This window comes from Homo sapiens, chromosome 5 (genome assembly GCF_000001405.40).
Source record: "Homo sapiens chromosome 5, GRCh38.p14 Primary Assembly".
Taxonomy (NCBI): Eukaryota; Metazoa; Chordata; class Mammalia; order Primates; family Hominidae; genus Homo; species Homo sapiens.
Window position 1 is genome coordinate 171,096,732 of NC_000005.10, and position 17,934 is coordinate 171,114,665.

Consider the following 17,934-nt stretch of genomic DNA (forward strand, 5'->3'; position numbering starts at 1 on the left):
GATAGGGCCTGAATTTTTTATATCTGTATGTAAAGAAGGAGCTGGTTCTTATTAACTTTTCTGAAGATCTGGTATGTACTTTAAAGCCTACTTTATCAACAACAACAACAAAACTCTGTGAAGAAGGGGTGGAGGGATGTTTCTAAGATCTTAGAGAAAATTGTAAGTATATGGTAGAACTTTAAGAAAATCATCTTTAGTACAAGAAGGATTATAATGGTTTTGGTTGAAGTTATTCAGTGTTGATTGTGACCATGTAACTAAAGTTTGTGATTCTTGAATTTGTGTTTTTTATACTTATGTTTTACAAAAAGATTTTATTTCTTCTTCAAGGAGGTTGTAAGAATTTTCCCTCGATTTTCTAAATCTAATGCAGAAATTGTTCCAGGCTATGAGTAAGTAGTGGAGGGAAGAAATTTGAGTCATGTTACCTCCATTTTTAGTGTCTCTCTTTAGCTTGTCCCTTCCTTTAGTCAAGGTATCTGTTAGATTTATAAAAATTTAGAATACCATATCCCTATAATTTTTCATCTAATAATCTCATTGAGAAAACACAGGAGAAGTTGGAAAGCAAATAGTGGTCACTGAGTGCTTCTTATGTATCAAATTCTAGATGTTAATATGTAATTTAATCTTCAGAAAGGGCTGTTAGACCATAAGCTCCTTGGAGCACAGCTTTGGGTCTTCATCTATGTAATCTCTCTAATTAACTGTACGTTTAATAAGTGTATACAGTTAGATACACAGTGAATGAGTAAACAAGTCTGTAAATTATTGTCCTCATTTTAGAGAAAATGAAATGGGTGTCTAAGAAATTAAGTCTATCAATAGTCCCATAGCTACTAAGCGGCAAAACCTTAACCTGTATGTAGTCTTTTTATTATTATTATTATTATTATTATTATTATTATTATTATTATTATACTTTAAGTTCTGGGATACATGTGCAGAACATGTAGGTTTATTACATAGGTATACATGTGCCATGGTGGTTTGCTGCACCCATCAACCAGTCATCTACATTAGGTATTTCTTCTAATGCTATCCCTCCCCTTGCCCCACACTCCCCAACAGGCCCCAGTGTGTGATGTTCCCCTCCCTGTGTCCATGTGTTCTCATTTTTCACCTCCCACTTATGAGTGAGAACATGTGGTGTTTGGTTTTCTGTTTCTGTGTTAGTTTGCTGAGAATGATGGTTTCCAGCTTCATCCATGTCCCTGCAAAGGATATGAACTCATCCTTTTTTATGGCTGAATAGTATTCCATGGTGTATATGTGCCACATTTGCTTTATCCAGTCTATCATTGATGGGCATTTGGGTTGGTTCCAAGTCTCTGCTATTGTGAATAGTGCTGCAATAAACATACGTATGCATGTGTCCTTATACTAGAATGATTTATAATCCTTTGGGTATATACCCAGTAATAGGATTGCTGGGTCAAATGGTATTTCTGATTCTAGATCCTTGAGGAATTGCCACACTGTCTTCCACAATGGTTGAATTAATTTACACTCTCACTAACATTATAAAAGCGTTTCTATTTTTTCACATCCTCTCCAGCATCTGTTGTTTCATGACTTTGTAATGATGGCCATTCTAACTGGCATGAGATGGTATCTCATTGTGGTTTTGATTTGAATTTCTCTAATGACCAGCAATGATGAGCTGTTTTTCATATATTTGTTGGCCACATAAATTTCTTCTTTTGAGAAGTGTCTGTTCATATCCTTTGCCCATTTTTTGATAGCGTTGTTCATTTTTTTCTTGTAAATTTGTTTAAGTTCTTTGTAGATTCTGGATATTAGCCCTTTGTCAGATGGATAGATTGCAAAAATTTTCTCCCATTCTGTAGGTTGCCTGTTCACTCTGATGATAGTTTCTTTTGCTGTGCAGAAGCTCTTTAGTTTAATTAAATCCCATTTGTCAATTTTGGCTTTTGTTGCAATTGCTTTTGGTGTTTTAGTCATGAAGTTATCACCCATGCCTGTGTCCTGAATGGTATTGCCTAGGTTTTCTTCTAGGGTTTTTATGCTTTTAGGTCTTATGTTTAAATCTTTAATCCATCTTGAGTTAATTTTTGTATAAGGTGTAAGGAAGGGGTCCAGTTTCAGTTTTCTGCAACCCCGTTTCTTAAATAGGGAATTCTTTCCCCATTGCTTGTTTTTGGCAGGTTTGTTAAAAATCAGATGGTTGTAGATGTGTTATTTCTGAGGGCTCTGTTCTGTTCCATTTGGTCTATATATCTGTTTTGGTACCAGTACCATCCTGTTTTGGTTACAGTAGCCTTGCAGTATAGTTTGAAGTCAGGTAGCATGATGCCTCCAGCTTTGTTCTTTTTGCTTAGGATTGTCATGGCTATACGGGCTCTTTTTTGGTTCCATATGAAATTTAAAGTAGTTGTTTCCTAATTCTGTGAAGAAAGTCAATGGTAGTTTGATGGGAATAACATTGAATCTATAAATTACTTTGGGCAGTATGGTCATTTTCACAATATTGGTTCTTCCTATCCATGAGCATGGGATGTTTTTCCATTTTTTTGTGTTGTCTCTTATTTCCTTGAGCAGTGGTTTGTAGTTCTCCTTGAAGAGGTCCTTCACATCCCTTGTAAGTTGTATTCCTAGGTATTTTATTCTCTTTGGAGCAATTGTGAATGGGAGTTTGCTCATGATTTGGCTGATATTGGTGTATAGGAATGCTCGTGATTTTCGCACGTTGATTTTATATCCTGAGACTTTGTTGACGTTGCTTTTTGGCTTAAGGAGATTTTGGGCTGAGATGTTGGGGTTTTCTAAATATACAATCATGTCATCTGCAAACAAAGATAATTTAACTTCCTCTCTTCCTATTTGAATACCCCTTATTTCTTTCTCTTGCCTGGTTGCCCTGGCCAGAACTTCCAACACTGTGTTGAGTAGGAGTGGTGAGAGAGGGCATCCTTTTCTTGTGCCAGTTTTCAAAGGGAATGCTTCCAGTTTTTGCCCATTCAGTATGATATTGGCTGTGGGTTTGTCATAAATAGCTCTTACTATTTTGAGATATGTTCCGTCAGTTCCTAATTTATTGAGTGTTTTTAGCATGAAGGGGTGTTGAATTTTATCAAAGGCTTTTTCTGCGTCTATTGAGATAATCATGTGGTTTTTGTCATTGGTTCTGTTTATGTGATGGATTACGTTTACTGATTTGCATATGTTGAACCAGCCTTGCTTCCCATGGATGAAGCTGACTTGATCGTGGTAGATAAGCTTTTTAATGTTTTGCTGGATTCAGTTTGCCAGTATTCTATTGAGGATTTTTCGCATCGATGTTCATCAGGGTTATTGGCCTGAAATTTTATTTTTTTGTTGTGTCTCTGCCAGGTTTTGGTATCAGGATGATGCTGGCCTCATAAAATGAGTTAGGGAGCAGTCCCTCTTTTTCTATTGTTTGGAATCGTTTCAGAAGGAATGGTACCAGCTCCTTTTTGTACCTCTGGTAGAATTTGGCTGTGAATTTGTCTGGTCCTGGGCTTTTTTTGGTTGATAGGCTATTACTGCCTCAATTTCAGAACTTGTTACTGGTCTATTCAGGGATTTGACTTATTCCTGGTTTAGTCTTGGGAAGTTGTATGTGTCCAGGAATTTATCCATTTCTTCTAGATTTTCTAGTTTATTTGCATACAGGTGTTTATAGTATTATCTGATGGTTGATTGTATTTCTGTGGGATCAGTGGTGATATCCCCTTTATCATTTTTTATTGTGTCTATTTGATTCTTCTTTCTTTTCTTCATTAATCTGGCTAGCAGTCTATCTATTTTGTCAATCTTTTCCAAAAACCAGCTCCTGGATTCATTGATTTCTTTTGAAGTGTTTTTTGTGTCTCTATCTCCTTCAGTTCTGCTCTGATCTTAGTTATTTCTTGTCTTCTGCTAGCTTTTGAATTTGTTTGCTCTTGCTTCTCTAGTTCTTTTAATTGTGATGTTAGGGTATCAATTTTAGATCTTTCTAGGTTTCTCCTGTGGGCATTTAGTGCTATAAATTTCCCTCTAAACACTGCGTTAGCTGTGTCCCAGAGATTCTGGGACGTTGCGTCTTTGTTCTCACTGGTTTCAAAGAACTTACTTATTTCTGCCTTAATTTCGTTATTTACCCAGTAGTCATTCAGGAGCAGGTTGTTCAGTTTCCATGTAGTTGTGCAGTTTTGAGTGAGTTTCTTAATCCTGAGTTTTAATTTGATTGCACTGTGTTCAGAGAGACCATTTGTTATGATTTCTGTTCTTTTGCATTTGCTGAGGAGTGTTTTACTTCCAATTATGTGATCAATTTTAGAATAAGTGTGATGTGATGCTGAGAAGAATGTATATTCTGTTGATTTGGGGTGGAGAGTTCTGTAGCTATCTATTAGGTCTGCATGGTCCAGAGCTGAGTTCAAGTCCTGAATATCCTTGCTAATTTTCTGTCTCGATCTGTCTAATATTGACAGTGGAGTGTTAAAGTCTCCCATTATTATTGTGTGGGAGTCTAAGTCTCTTTTTAGGCCTTTCAGAACTTGCTTTATGAATCTGGGTGCTCCTGTATTGGGTGCATATATATTTAAGATAGTTAGCTCTCCTTGTTGCATTGATGCCTTTATTATTATGTGATGCACTTCTTTGTCTTTGTTGATCTTTGTTGATTTAAAGTCTGTTTTATCAAGGGCGAAGATTGCAACCCCTGCTCTTTTTTTGCTTTCCATTTGCTTGGTAAAGCTTCTCCCATCCCTTTATTTTGAGCCTATGTGTGTCTTTGCATGTGAGATGGGTCTCCTGAATACAGCACACTGATGGGTCTTGACTCTATCCAGTTTTCCGTCTGTGACTTTTAATTTGGGCATTTAACCCATTTACATTTAAGGTTAATATTGTTATGTGTGAATATGATCCTGTCATTATGATGCTAGCTGGTTATTTTGCCCATTAGTTGATGCAGTTTCTTCAATGTCAGTGGTCTTTACATTTTGATTTGTTTTTGCAGTGGCTAGTACTGGTTGTTCCTTTCCATATTTAGTGTTTCCTTCAGGAGTTCTTGTAAGGCAGGCCTAGTGGTGACAGAATCCCTCAATATTTGCTTGTCTGTAAAGAATTTTATTTCTCCTTTACTTATGAAGCTTAGTTTGGCTGGATATGAAATTCTGGCTTGAAAATTCTTTTCTTGAAGAATGTTGAATGTTGGCCCCCACTCTCTTCTGGCTTGTAGGGTTTCTGCAGAGATCCACTGTTAGCCTGATGGGCTTCCCTTTGTGGGTAACCCAACCTTTCTCTCTGTCTGCCCTTAACATTTTTTCCTTCATTTCAACCTTGGAGAATCTGATGATTATGTGTCTTGGGGTTGCTCTTCTCAAGGAGTATCTTTGTGGTTTTCTCTGTATTTTCTGAACTTGAACGTTGGCCTGTCTTGCTAGGTTGGGGAAGTTCTCCTGGATAATATCCTGAAGTGTGTTTTCCAACTTGGTTCCATTCTTCCCGTCACTTTCCAGTACCCCAAGCAAATGTAGGTTTGGTCTTTTCACATAGTCCCATATTTCTTGGAGGCTTTGTTCATTCTTTTTCATTCTGTTTTCTCTAATCTTGTCTTTACACTTTACTTGATTAAGTTGATCTTCAGTCTCTGATATCCTTTCTTCCGCTTGATTGATTTGGCTATTGATACTTGTGTATGCTTCACAAACTTCTCGTGCTGTTTTTTTCAGCTCCATCAGGTCATTTATGTTCTTCTCTAATCTAGTTATTCTAGTTAGCAATTCCTCTAACCTTTTATTGAAGTTCTTAGCTTCCTTGCATTGGGTTAGAACATGCTTCTTGAGCTCAGAGGAGTTTGTTATTACGCACTTTCTGAAGCCTCCTTCTATCAATTCGTCAAACTAATTCTCTGTCCAATTTAGTTCCTTTGCTGGCAAGGAGTTGTGATCCTTTGGAAGAGAAGAGGCATTCAGGTTTTTGGCATTTTCAGCCTTTTTGTGCTGTTTTTTTCCTCATCTTCGTGGATTTGTCTACCTTTGGTCTTCGATGTTGGTGACCTTCGGATGGAGTTTTTGCTTCGTTGTCCTTTTTTTTTTATGTTGATGCTATTGCTTTCTGTTTGTTAGTTTTCCTTCTAACAGTCAGACCCCTCTGCTGCAGGTCTGCTGGAGTTTGCTGGGGGCCCACACCAGACCCTGTTTGCCTGGGTATCACCAGCAGAGGCTACACAACAGCAAAGATTGCTGCCTGTTTGTTCCTCTGGAAGCTTCATCCCAGAGGGGTACCGGCCAGATGCGAGCCGGAGCTCTCCTGCATGAGGTGTCTGTCGACCCCTGCTGGGAGGTGTCTCTCAGTCTGGAGGCTCAGGGGTCAGGGACCCACTTGAGGAGACAGTCTGTCCCTTATCAGAGCTCTAGCGCTGTGCTGAGAGATCTGCTGCTCTCTTCCAAGCCGGCAGGCGGGCACATTTAAGTCTGCTGAAGCTGCACCCACAGCCACCCCTTCCCCCAGGTGCTCTGTCCCAGGGAGATGGGAACTTTATCTATAAGCCCCTGACTGGGGCTGCTGCCCTTCTTTTAGAGATGCCCTGCCCAGAGAGGAGGAATCTGGAGAGGCAGTCTGGCTACAGCGACTTTGCCTAGCTGCAGTGGATTCCACCCAGTTCAAAATTCCTGGCAGCTTTGTTTACACTGTAAGGGGAAAACTGCCTACTCAAGCCTTGGTAATGGTGGATTCCCCTCCCCCCACAAAGCTCAAGCATCCCAGGTCGACTTCAGACTGCTGTGCTGGCAGCGAGATTTTCAAGCCAGGGGATCTTAGCTTGCTAGGCTCCGTGGGGGTGAGATCTGCTAAGCTACACTACTTGGCTCTCTCACTTCAGCCCCCTTTCCAGGGGAGTGAATGATTCTGTCTCACTGGCGTTCCAGGTGCCAGTGGGGTATGAAAAAAAAAACCCTGCAGCTAGCTAGGTGTCTGCTCAAATGGCCACCCAGTTTTGTGCTTGAAACGCAGGGCCCTGGTGGTGTAGGCACCCGAGAGAATCTCCTGGTCTGTGGGTTGCAAAGACTGGAAAATCGTAGTATCTGGGCTGGAGTGCACCGTTCCTCAAGGCACAGTTCCTCAGGGCTTCCCTTGGCTAGGCGACGGAGGTCCCCAACCCCTTGCACTTCCTGGGTGAGGTGGTGCCCCACCCACCCTTCTTCGGCTCGCCCTCTGTGGACTGTACCCACTGTCTAACCAGTCCCAATGAGATGAGCCAGGTACCTCAGCCGGAAATGCAGAAATCACCTGCATTCTGTGTTGGCCTCGCTGGGAGCTTTTTGTTTGTTTGTTTGTTGTGTTCTTAATGAGTTGGAGTTTTGCTGTTTTTGCCCAGGCTGAAGTGCAATGGCACAATCTCGGCTCACTGAAACCTCCACCTCCTGGGTTCAAGTGATTCTGCTGCCTCAGCCTTTCGAGTAGCTGGGGTTACAGGCATGCACCACCAGGCCCGGCTAATTTTGTATTTTCAGTAGAGACAGGATTTCTCCATGTTGGTCAGGCTGGTCTCGAACACCCAACCTCAGGTGATCCGCCCGCCTCAGCTTCCCAAAGTGCTGGGATTACAGGGGTGAGCCACCGCGCCTGGCCTGTCCTCTTTAATTATCTTACATATGTCAGTTATGAACTTGATTTTTCAGCACCCTGCAATTCATTCACTCAGAAAGAGAACATAAATGCAATAGTCAAAATAGTTTTCATGTAGAGGGTGAAATATAAGACTATCCAGAATGTTGCCTTTTTACTTCTGCTTCATTGCCACATTACATCAATGGTTGAGTAACAGTTATACCTCTGAACTATTTTCCACAGAACAGAAATGACCTGTTAGGAGCATTATCTTTGCTTTTGAATAATGATAGTGGTCAAGAGCTTGAACTAAGTAGTTAGACAAACTTAGTCTCAGTCATGCTACTAACTGGCTCTTTTTCTTTAGGCAAATTTCTTTTGTCTAAAGAACCTCTCTAAGCTTCACTTTTGCCATAAAATGGGAATAATAATACTTACCTTATAGGTCTAATGTGAGGATAGAGATAATATGCTTAGCTCAATAACTCGCATATAGAAGATGCTTGTTAAGAGTTAGTTAAAATTGGATGTTTCTGTTGATGATGTTGTCATTGCTATTACAAATATTATTATCAACTTTGAATATAGTGATTTAATTTTTCCATTGGTCCCCTACACCAAGGAAAAGTCATTGGGAAATAATCACAGGGAGTGTATTTATATAAATGATGGCCTTTATTACATATTGTACGTTGATAAAATTTGCTTCTTAGCATGTTGTGAGTACCTTTAAATTAAAACTTTTGGAGAGGATAAAACAATTTTCTTTATTTAAAAAATTTTCCAGCCGGGCGCGGTGGCTCACGCCTGTAATCCCAGCACTTTGGGAGGCCAAGGCGGGCAGATCACGAGGTCAGGAGATCGAGACCATCCCGGCTAAAACGGTGAAACCCCGTCTCTACTAAAAATACAAAAAATTAGCCGGGCGTAGTGGCGGGCGCCTGTAGTCCCAGCTACTTGGGAGGCTGAGGCAGGAGAATGGCGTGAACCCGGGAGGCGGAGCTTGCAGTGAGCCGAGATCCCGCCACTGCACTCCAGCCTGGGCGACAGAGCGAGACTCCGTCTCAAAAAAAAAAAAAAAAAAAAAAAAATTTTCCTGGGACTGGCATGGTGGCTCACACCTGTAATCCCCAACACTTTGGGAGGCTGTGGCAGGAGGATCACTTAAGCCCAGAGTTCAAGACCAGCCCAGGGAACATAGCAAAAACCTGTCTTTACAAAAATATATATACATATATTTTTAAAAGATTAGCTGAGTGGGTATGGTGGCACACACCCTGTAGTACTGGCTACTTAAGAGGCTGAAATAAGAGAATCACTTGAGCCCAGGAGTTTGAAGTTCCAGTGAACTGTGATCACACCACTGTACTCCAGCCTGGGTGACAGAGTGAGAACTTGTCTCAAAAAGAAAAAAAAAAATTTATTCTATCTTATATCTTTGACTTGCAAAAGCCTATATTTTTAGAATCAGTTTTTTTAGACATTAGTCTGATACAGAAACCAAGGTTCTCTGCAGCAGACCATTCTGAGGTTGTGGGGATATTGTTGGAAAAAAATATGATTAGGATTTATTATACATTCTTACCTTTATTTGTTTTTTGTCAGAGAAGCAGTCACCCCTGATTGTTGCTTTAGGCCATCAATTGATGTGCACTGCAAGGGGTAAATTGTTCTACACATTAGTAAGCTGGGTAAGCAAATTGTTGTGCAAACCTAATTTGTTTCCTAGAGAAAGTGACTGACATACAATTTTGAAAATGGAAATATTCATAAATTGGGTGACCATGGTGGAATAGATCCATTGTGAAATAACCACTACGTTTAAGAATCCTGTACTCATTGGTGAGACTGACAAAAAACAGTACTGTGACTGAGGTAAACACAAGGTTACAGCAGCCCTTAAGAGGAGTACTTTCCTCAGGCTTGGGGAAGGTAGGACAGACAGGAGAGAGGAATCAGAAGTCTTCACAATATTGATATCTATTCTGGGCCTTGAAGATGAAGTGGGAGTTGGCTAGGTAGATGGAAGGTAGGAGGGGAAGGGGGTAAATTTTTCCAGGTTGTGAGAGCAACATGTTTGAGGAACTATAAGATAGGGGAATAGAATGAGAATACTGGGTGTTAGAGAAGAATGAGATTTTTCTAGATGTAACTTTTTTGCACTATATAGCCCACCAGTTAGAGGGTCTGTTTTGTGAAGAAACTAGTCAGTTCAGAGGAGGAAAATGATGGAAGTAGTATTCATTAAACTAAATATTTTATTCTGTTGACTTGGTCAATCAAGTCAGACTTGGAGCCTGATAATCCATTTGGGCATCGATTTGTCTTTATTGTTAACTTTGTAACTTGGAAAAATTTTTTCAAAATCTTCACATGGTTCTCAATACTGGTTTTACAATATAATCACACGAGGAAGTTTTGTAAAAATAACACTGTGGATTTGCTGTAAAATGTCCCAATGGAAATTTTTTTTAATGTTTGGGGGTGGGGAAATAGATGATGTAAGATTTGCAAAATATTGCTAATCACTGACACTTGGTAATATATTTCCATTATGTTTGTATATGTTTGAGCATTTACATAACTAAAAGTTTAAAAAGTAAAATTAGAATTTTTTCTGAACAGCCATCAAAAGATACTCATACTTGGGCCCCATCCTAAACCAATTAGGTCAAAATTTCTTGGGGTTTAGGACCCACGTATCTTTTGTTTGTTTGTTGTTGTTGTTGTTGTTTTGGAGTTCAACATGTTTATGGTGTGTAGCCATGGTTGAAAGCTTTTATTTTATAAGATAGACAAAGCAGGAATTATTATTCTCATTTTACAGGAGAAAAACAGAAGGGCTATGTGGTTTGTTAAAAGGCCACACAGACAGTAAAGAACACAGCCTTTACATGGTCAGCCTCACATTCTAGTACTCATTTTATTACACTGCTCTTCTTCTCTGTTGCCTGGTATCAAAGGAATTAGTTTGTTGCTAGTTAGTATCACATGATATGTTCAGAACTATACTATATTGAAGATCTTAGTCCCTACGACTCTGTTCTAGAGCATCCCTAGTTCCTGTTCTTCCTCAGACTGGCAGTGAGTATTGAGTGCAAGCAACAAAGTTTGTTAAATTGCTCTTATTTGTGAGTGGATGCTTATAGTTCAGCCTGCCATTTTTTTTTTCTTGGCCTGTGAGTAAGAAAGCAAGCAGTGTAAGTGCCTCTAAGAAGGAAAAGATGCTGATACTTTTCTCATGCCCTCTGTGCTAGGGCAGTAAATCTACATGCAAATTAAAGATTTTGGTGACAAATGAGAACACCCATCATGACTCTAGTCTCTTCTTAACTTTCCTGGGTGTTGTTAATTCATAACATAGTTTGAATTCACTTACTATTATTGATTTCTATATTTATTAGAATGAAAAGGGAAATCTTGCCTTACAAGGGAAATATGGTTATCAGACGCTTTCTTTGTCATGGAATAAAAAGACCTTCTAGGATATAAACTGTGAGAATGACAGTTAAATTGATATGGTGAAGGTTAATGCGTGCTTGCTGCATTGATGTTGGAGGTCCCAATCATTTACCACTATGCTCCTATAATACATGCCGTACATCTTCATTAGGAAGGCACAGAGCAATCAGTTTCAGGTTTCTGGATGAGCCTGTGGCCAGGCCATAATTAACCTTTTGAACTTGGAATTGTAGCAGAATGTTCTATTGGCTTAGGTTATCAATTATGGTTAGAGTCGATTGATATTCAAAGAAGGCTTATTGGTGATAGATATTATAATTTACTCATCTGCCTGTTGTGTGCTTGACAAATAGAAATGTCATAACAAATAATTTTGTTTTTTGCTTTTGGAAAGAGATTATTTGCCAAACAGTTCTATAAGCAACAGCTGTTGTTCAGGTTTTTTCTTGAGGTGGGGGAGGGTCTTAATTTTCAGTATTGTTTTTCAGTTTCCTATGTATGAAGCAGTGCAACTAATAAGGGGACTTTTAGAGTTACATATGTCAAATTTTACTAGAAAAAAACTCACACATAGCATATCAACATACTTTAAAAATAAGTCTAAAAAATTAAAGTTCAAGTGAAATCATGTATTTTATTTATTTATTTATTTTGAGACGAGGTCTCACTCTGTCACCCAGGCTGGAGTGCAGTGGTACAAACACAGCTCACTGCAGCCTCAAACTCCTCGGTTCAAGCCGTCCTCCTACCTTACCCTCCCAAACAGCTGGGACCACAGCCGTGCATCACCACGCCCTGATGATTTTTTTATATTTTGTAAAGATGGAGACTCCGTATGATGTCCAGCTGGTCTCAAACTCCTGAACTCAAGTGATCCACCCACCTCTGCTTCCAAAAATGCTGGAATTACATGCATGAGCCACCACCCCCAGATGTTAAAATTTTTGTGTCTTCTTTTTCTATACAGTATTTCACTCAAATAAAATAGTATCAGAAAAATGGCTGACTGAATTTTGCTTTTTTGGAAAAACTTGCTAGAATGTTTGTTAATCAGGTAAAACTGAAAATATTAATTGCCAGTCCAAATGAAGGGAAGTTTGCCTTTTTTGTTGTTGTTGTTCTGGCAAACTTTATTAAAAAACAAAAACAATATACCAATGGACAGAATTTTCTCTGCCACTTGAGGAGCCCCTATCCCAAACCAAAACTACTGAAGCTGATCACACAGGTATACACATCACTGGTAACTCTATAAGAAATAAAAGGAAAAATGAATATGTCTGGTTACCACAAGCCCATGTGATAATGCATGGCTGTGTGACACAGAAAACGGTATACAGGTCAAAAATGCCTTGGAAAAATACAAATTTTTAAAATATGGAATATGTAGACCTTAATCCACTCGGCCACATTTTTATATTAACACATCAATGTATTATATTTGCGGTTAAGTAGGAAATTTGCCTTTTTTATGAATTTCAAATTATCTATTATAGTTTAAAGATAACTGCTCAAACTAAGCAGCTGTTTGTTTTTAAGCTATAGTTGTTTATTCTGTTAACTTACCCTATTAGTTTTAGAAATAATGTTTTATTAAAATCAAATATGCCTTAGAAGTTATTTCTAGAAAAAAGTTGCACTGAGGTTTTATTTATTGAAGTTTTAATTGTAATTTGACTATGCATATTGTTTTGAAATGACAGTCGTCCCTCAGTATCTGTGTAGGATTGGTTCCAAGACACCCCACAGATACCAAAATCCATGGATGCTTTGGTCACTTATATAGAATGGTGTAGTATTTACATTTAACTAGTGCACATCCTCTCACATACTTTAAATCATCTCTAAATTATTTATAATAACTAATACAATGTAAATGCTACGTAAATACTTGTTATACTATATTGTTTAGGGAATCATGACAAAGAGAAAGTCCATATATGTTCAGTACGGTTGCAACCATCCATTTTTCCCCATATTTTCAATCTGCGATTGGTTGAATCTATAGAAGGTCCAACTGTATAGTGAGAAATTGAGAACATGAATATCCAACACTAAGGCATTGGTTGAGTATATTGTGTACATCACTTTGAAGAAATATTATAGGTATTAACATGATGATAGGATAGAGTTTTAATAACTTGGGAAACTGTTACCTTAAAAGTTAAAAAGCAGGTTAGAAAATTGCATATTTAGGGGTGAGATGAGGGTTATTGAGAAAGACTGGAAGGAAGTATACTAAAATGTAAACAGTGGTCACTTAGAAGTGGTAGTATTATGTCTTTTTTCTTATTTATATATTTTATCATATAAAATTTTTTTTTCTGATATGTTTATCAGTATCATCATAGCATAGTGTGTAAGGCCTGACTGCCTGGTTCAGATTCCAACTCTGTTACTTCCTGGCTCTGTGGCTCTGTGACATTGGACAAATATTTATACTCTTAGGCTTCGGTTTCCTCATTTGTAGAATGGGTACAAGAACCTATCTTATAGGATTGATATGAAGATTAATTATATATTAATAATAATATATTTGGAGTTTAAGTAAACACATAATCACATAATGCTGTGAGTGCTGTAACCTTGTCCGCTCTCTTCTGAGCATAGCCCTTCTAGTGTTGTAGCATAGTGCACAGCCTGTTGGTTTACTGCTCACCGTTCACTAGCCCTTTAGCCGTCATATCTATCTTCCTTCTCTGTGTCTCCATCTGTATGTCTCATGAGCTTTATAGGGGAGGCAAAAACTTTTCCCTCTACTCCTTCTACATTTTCCAACTGTGGCCCTGTACATTATACTACCAAAAGACAGATTACCAAGGGAAAAGCATACAAATTTTACTTAATAACTTTTACATGTATACAGGAGCCTTGACAAGAAAAATGAAGATCAAAAAGAACAGGGCCAAAAGGTTATATACTAGGTTAGATATAGAGTATTAAATTGTAGAAACGTGATGAGACAGGGAAGTTCATTTTGGAAAAGTCACTAGGAAGATAAAGGTTAGTTTAACAGAGTCTCTTTATAGATTTTTCTCTACCTGGACTCCCCTCTCTGGTAATAAGAATGTCTTTTTTTTTTTTAATTTTTTTTTTATTATACTTTAAGTTTTAGGGTACATGTGCACATTGTGCAGGTTAGTTACATATGTATACATGTGCCATGCTGGTGCACTGCACCCACTAACTCGTCATCTAGCATTAGGTATATCTCCCAATGCTATCCCTCCCCTCTCCCCCCACCCCACCACAGTCCCCAGAGTGTGATATTCCCCTTCCTTTGTCCATGTGTTTTCTTCCTACTGGTACAGGGAGAGTTTCTTTCACTTGAGAGTTTGATCTGCTTTCAGGAAGAAAAAGAAAGGTCAGAGTATTCTTCTTGTATCTGCTGTTTTTTCAGTGCCGTTAACTCAAAATATTCTTTATGCCAAAGTAGCATATTTTGGAGTAGCATATTCTGCTACTCATCTTTCTTACTCAGTCATTTCTAAGATATAACCATTCAGCTTCTCCCCAGACTTCTCTCCCTTTTGCTAAGTGAATGTCATTCTTACCTCAGTCACAAAATGAAAGATGTGGAAGTCATCTGGATGCTTTATCTTCCTATGTTCTTTTGAAAACCTTTGCTTTTTTCTTTTCCCTTCTGCCACAATTCAGACCTTTATTTCCCATCTACCTCTTAATGGGTTCCCCTAATTCTAGTCTTGGCTTTCCCCTTCCCAGACATCCTAGACAGAGCTGTTAGTGCAGTCTCTCTGAAGTGTCAGTCTTTCAGTGAGCCCCATTTCTTTCAAAGTGAAACCCAGACCTCCAAGACCTAGCCCAAAACAGGGGTTCTGAGCTATATTCATTCCACCTCTCACTGGCTTTGCTGAATTATTTGTAACTCTTTGATGTGCTCCTTCACTACTTTTGGGCCCTCCTACATGCTCTTCCTTTTCTCTGGAATGCTCTCTAACTTTCTGTGATTTCTTCTCTGCATTAGGTATTCCTCCAAATTGGCTTAACACATAGAACAAAGCAATCAAAGAATTTATCATACTTTATGGTAATTGTCTATTTCCTTGTCTCTGGTCCCCTTTAGGTTATGAGCCACTTATACTTAGGGATCATGCCTTATTTATCTCTGTGCCTCTAGTGCCCAGAAAAATGGCAGACACCCAGGAAACACTGAATGAAAAAGTAAACTTGATGGAAAAATAGCAAATTACAGGTGATGGGTAATGTTTTTATAAAATAATATGTATGGCTAGTTATTCTTCTGTTCTTATTATACATAGCAAAGTCATCTTGTCCTCACCATCACAACTATCATTATTCTCCTAATAACTTGTTTTTTTATTTATTGTTCTTACTTCTGTTCATGATTGTGAGCCATGGTGGATACATGGAGTCAGAAGAGTTAGTTAATGCTTGGTGAGCAGGGATAACAGTTGTCCTCAATATAACTTTGCTTGTGGGCATAGAGTTAATACTTGACAAAGCCAAGAAGGGCCTGGATTTTTCCTACTTTGTTTCTTGCACTATCTGTAAAATTTTTTTCAGTGTAAAATTTTACACTATCTGTAAAATATTGTTTAATTCCTTGAAAATTTTATATCTTCAATAAATGTTTGTAGGATAAAAATGGCATATTGTGTCCAAACAAACAAAAAAAAGGTAAATACTTGAAAGTAAGATTATACCATGGAAACAAAGGATATTATGCAGCAAGCAGGTCATTGTCACCACAGACAGACAATACTATTTTGGCTATATGAACTCTTTAAAAGGAGGTTTATAGACTGTCACCAGACTCATGAAAAAGGAAACACTGATTGACGGATCTGGTAAAGGAACAGCAGAACAAGAGGTGATTTTGTCTTAACTTCTCTTAAAGAGTTCTTATAACCAAATAGTATTGTCTGCTTGTGGTAACAATGACCTGCTTGCAGCATAATATCCTTTGTTTCCATGGTATAATCTTACTTTCCTTTTAAGTATCTGCCTTTTTTGTTGGGACACAATCTGCCATTTTTATCCTGTAAACATTTATTAAGATATATAATTTGTGAGGAATTAAACAAAGCTCTATAAAAAAATTTTAGAGATAGTGCAAGAAACAAAGTAGGAAAAATCCAGGGCCTTCTTGGCTTTGTCAAGTATTAGCTCTATGCCCACAAGCAAAGTTATATAAGTTGCCAGAGTCTTGGCTTCCCCTTTAAAACTTGGGGATAAAAATCCCTACTTCAGAATCATGTCTGGCATAGAGTAGATACTTAATAAAAGCTGGTTTTCTTTCTTTCTTCCTGCTTCCCCATATAGCATGTGTACAGCATAATTGTAATCAGGGAACCCACCCAAACTGCAGGTTGCAAATCTATCTGAAGATGTATCACTAAACAATCTCCTGCTGAAATAGTCACTGTCACATCATCTGCCCTTCATGTGATCACACATCTTTTCCCTGCCTACTAAACTACCAATGGTTAATTTGTTTAGATTTGAGCATTCTTGGCAATTATTACCCGTGCTACTACAACTTACAAATAGAGAAAAATTATATTACTCTTGGGATGGGAATGCAGTCATTGTGTGTGAACAGCCATTCATCCATTAACTCATTCATTTACTGACAAAAATTTTAGTACCTCCTATGTTCCAGACATGGAACAGACATGCTCCAGACAAATACCATTAACTCTTATAATGTAATAGATATTTTAATCTTAGCTGTCGTATTATTATCCAATATCATTATATACCAAGCCAAGCTCTTGAAATAAATTATTTAATTTATACAGTGGTTCCTCCAAGGTAGGTGCTATAATTAACCCTCATTTTACAGATAAGGAAATTGAGTCCTAGAGAAGTTAAGTGATATCCTGAAGTTCACATAGCTAATAAAAAAAGGAGCTAGGATTCAGACCTAGGCACTTTGAGTCTAGAATGTGTGATTTTAACTTCTGTGCCAGGAGGTCTCAAAGTGAGTTTCAGGGACTTATTAGAGATCCCCAAGACCCTTTCAGGGAGTCAGTGAGATCAAAACTACTTTTAAAATAATGCTAGAATAATATTTACCTTTTTCACTCTCATGAATGTACAGTGAAGTTTTCTAGAAGCTCTATGTCATTATATCACAACAGATTGAATGCAGAAGCAGATATGAAAGAAACTTATAAAATGTAAAACAGCACCACTCTAATTTAAAAAGGCTTTGTTTCAGAAAATACAGCTTTTTCACAAAAATGTATTATTTATATTAACATGCCATACATTTATTATTTTAAAATAAATTAATATTTTTTAATTCTCAGTTTTAATTTCTAATATGGTAAATATCAATTGATAGAACTTACATAAATAAAAGCTTCCTGGGTTCTTCAGGAATTTTTTTAAATTACCAAAGCGTCCATGTACAAAAAGTTTGAGAACTGCTACTCTACAGTGTTAGAACCTTCCTCATATTTCAGAACCTCATATTTCAGAACCTTTCTTTTGGCATACATTTTGTATTTTTTAAGTTAACCTCCCAATTTCAGACAGTCCAGCCATTCTGTTAAGAAAAGCCTTCCTTACAAGTTGTCAGAATTGTTAGCAGTAATACTTGAGACCTTTGTATATTCTTTGACCCTGTTTACCTGCTCCAGGAGCTTACAGTACATACCAGAATATCATGATTCTGGTGTACTTGAGTCACTTTTAAAGTTAATTTTTATGAAATACATAGAATGATTTTATAATTAAAGCAGATTGGGTATAAATGTTTATATTTCAGTATATCACTGGTATGACAACTGGTATATCACTACCTCCAAAAGTTTATCCAGCCACAAAGAGGGAATATTCTGTTTTCTTTCTTAGATAATGAAAAGGCTGAATGTTTTAATACAGTTTATTGAATAATAT

The 17,934-nt window shown here is 37.9% G+C and overlaps 1 protein-coding gene across 16 annotated transcripts in view, besides 1 other annotated feature; it reads left to right on the forward strand.

Moving 5' to 3' along the window:
- The window catches only part of RANBP17 (RAN binding protein 17), a 437,998-nt gene that overhangs the window by 234,714 nt on the left and 185,350 nt on the right, over positions 1 to 17,934 (forward strand). The gene's annotated exons all lie outside the window — the stretch shown is intronic.
- Positions 6,689 to 7,517: an enhancer, noted in NCBI's record as "NANOG-H3K27ac-H3K4me1 hESC enhancer chr5:170530424-170531252 (GRCh37/hg19 assembly coordinates)". NCBI's record gives its function as "activates a minimal SCP1, AML or CMV promoter by ChIP-STARR-seq in primed H9 embryonic stem cells {active_cell/tissue: H9 hESC(primed)}" and the evidence as "EXISTENCE:reporter gene assay evidence [ECO:0000049][PMID:30033119]".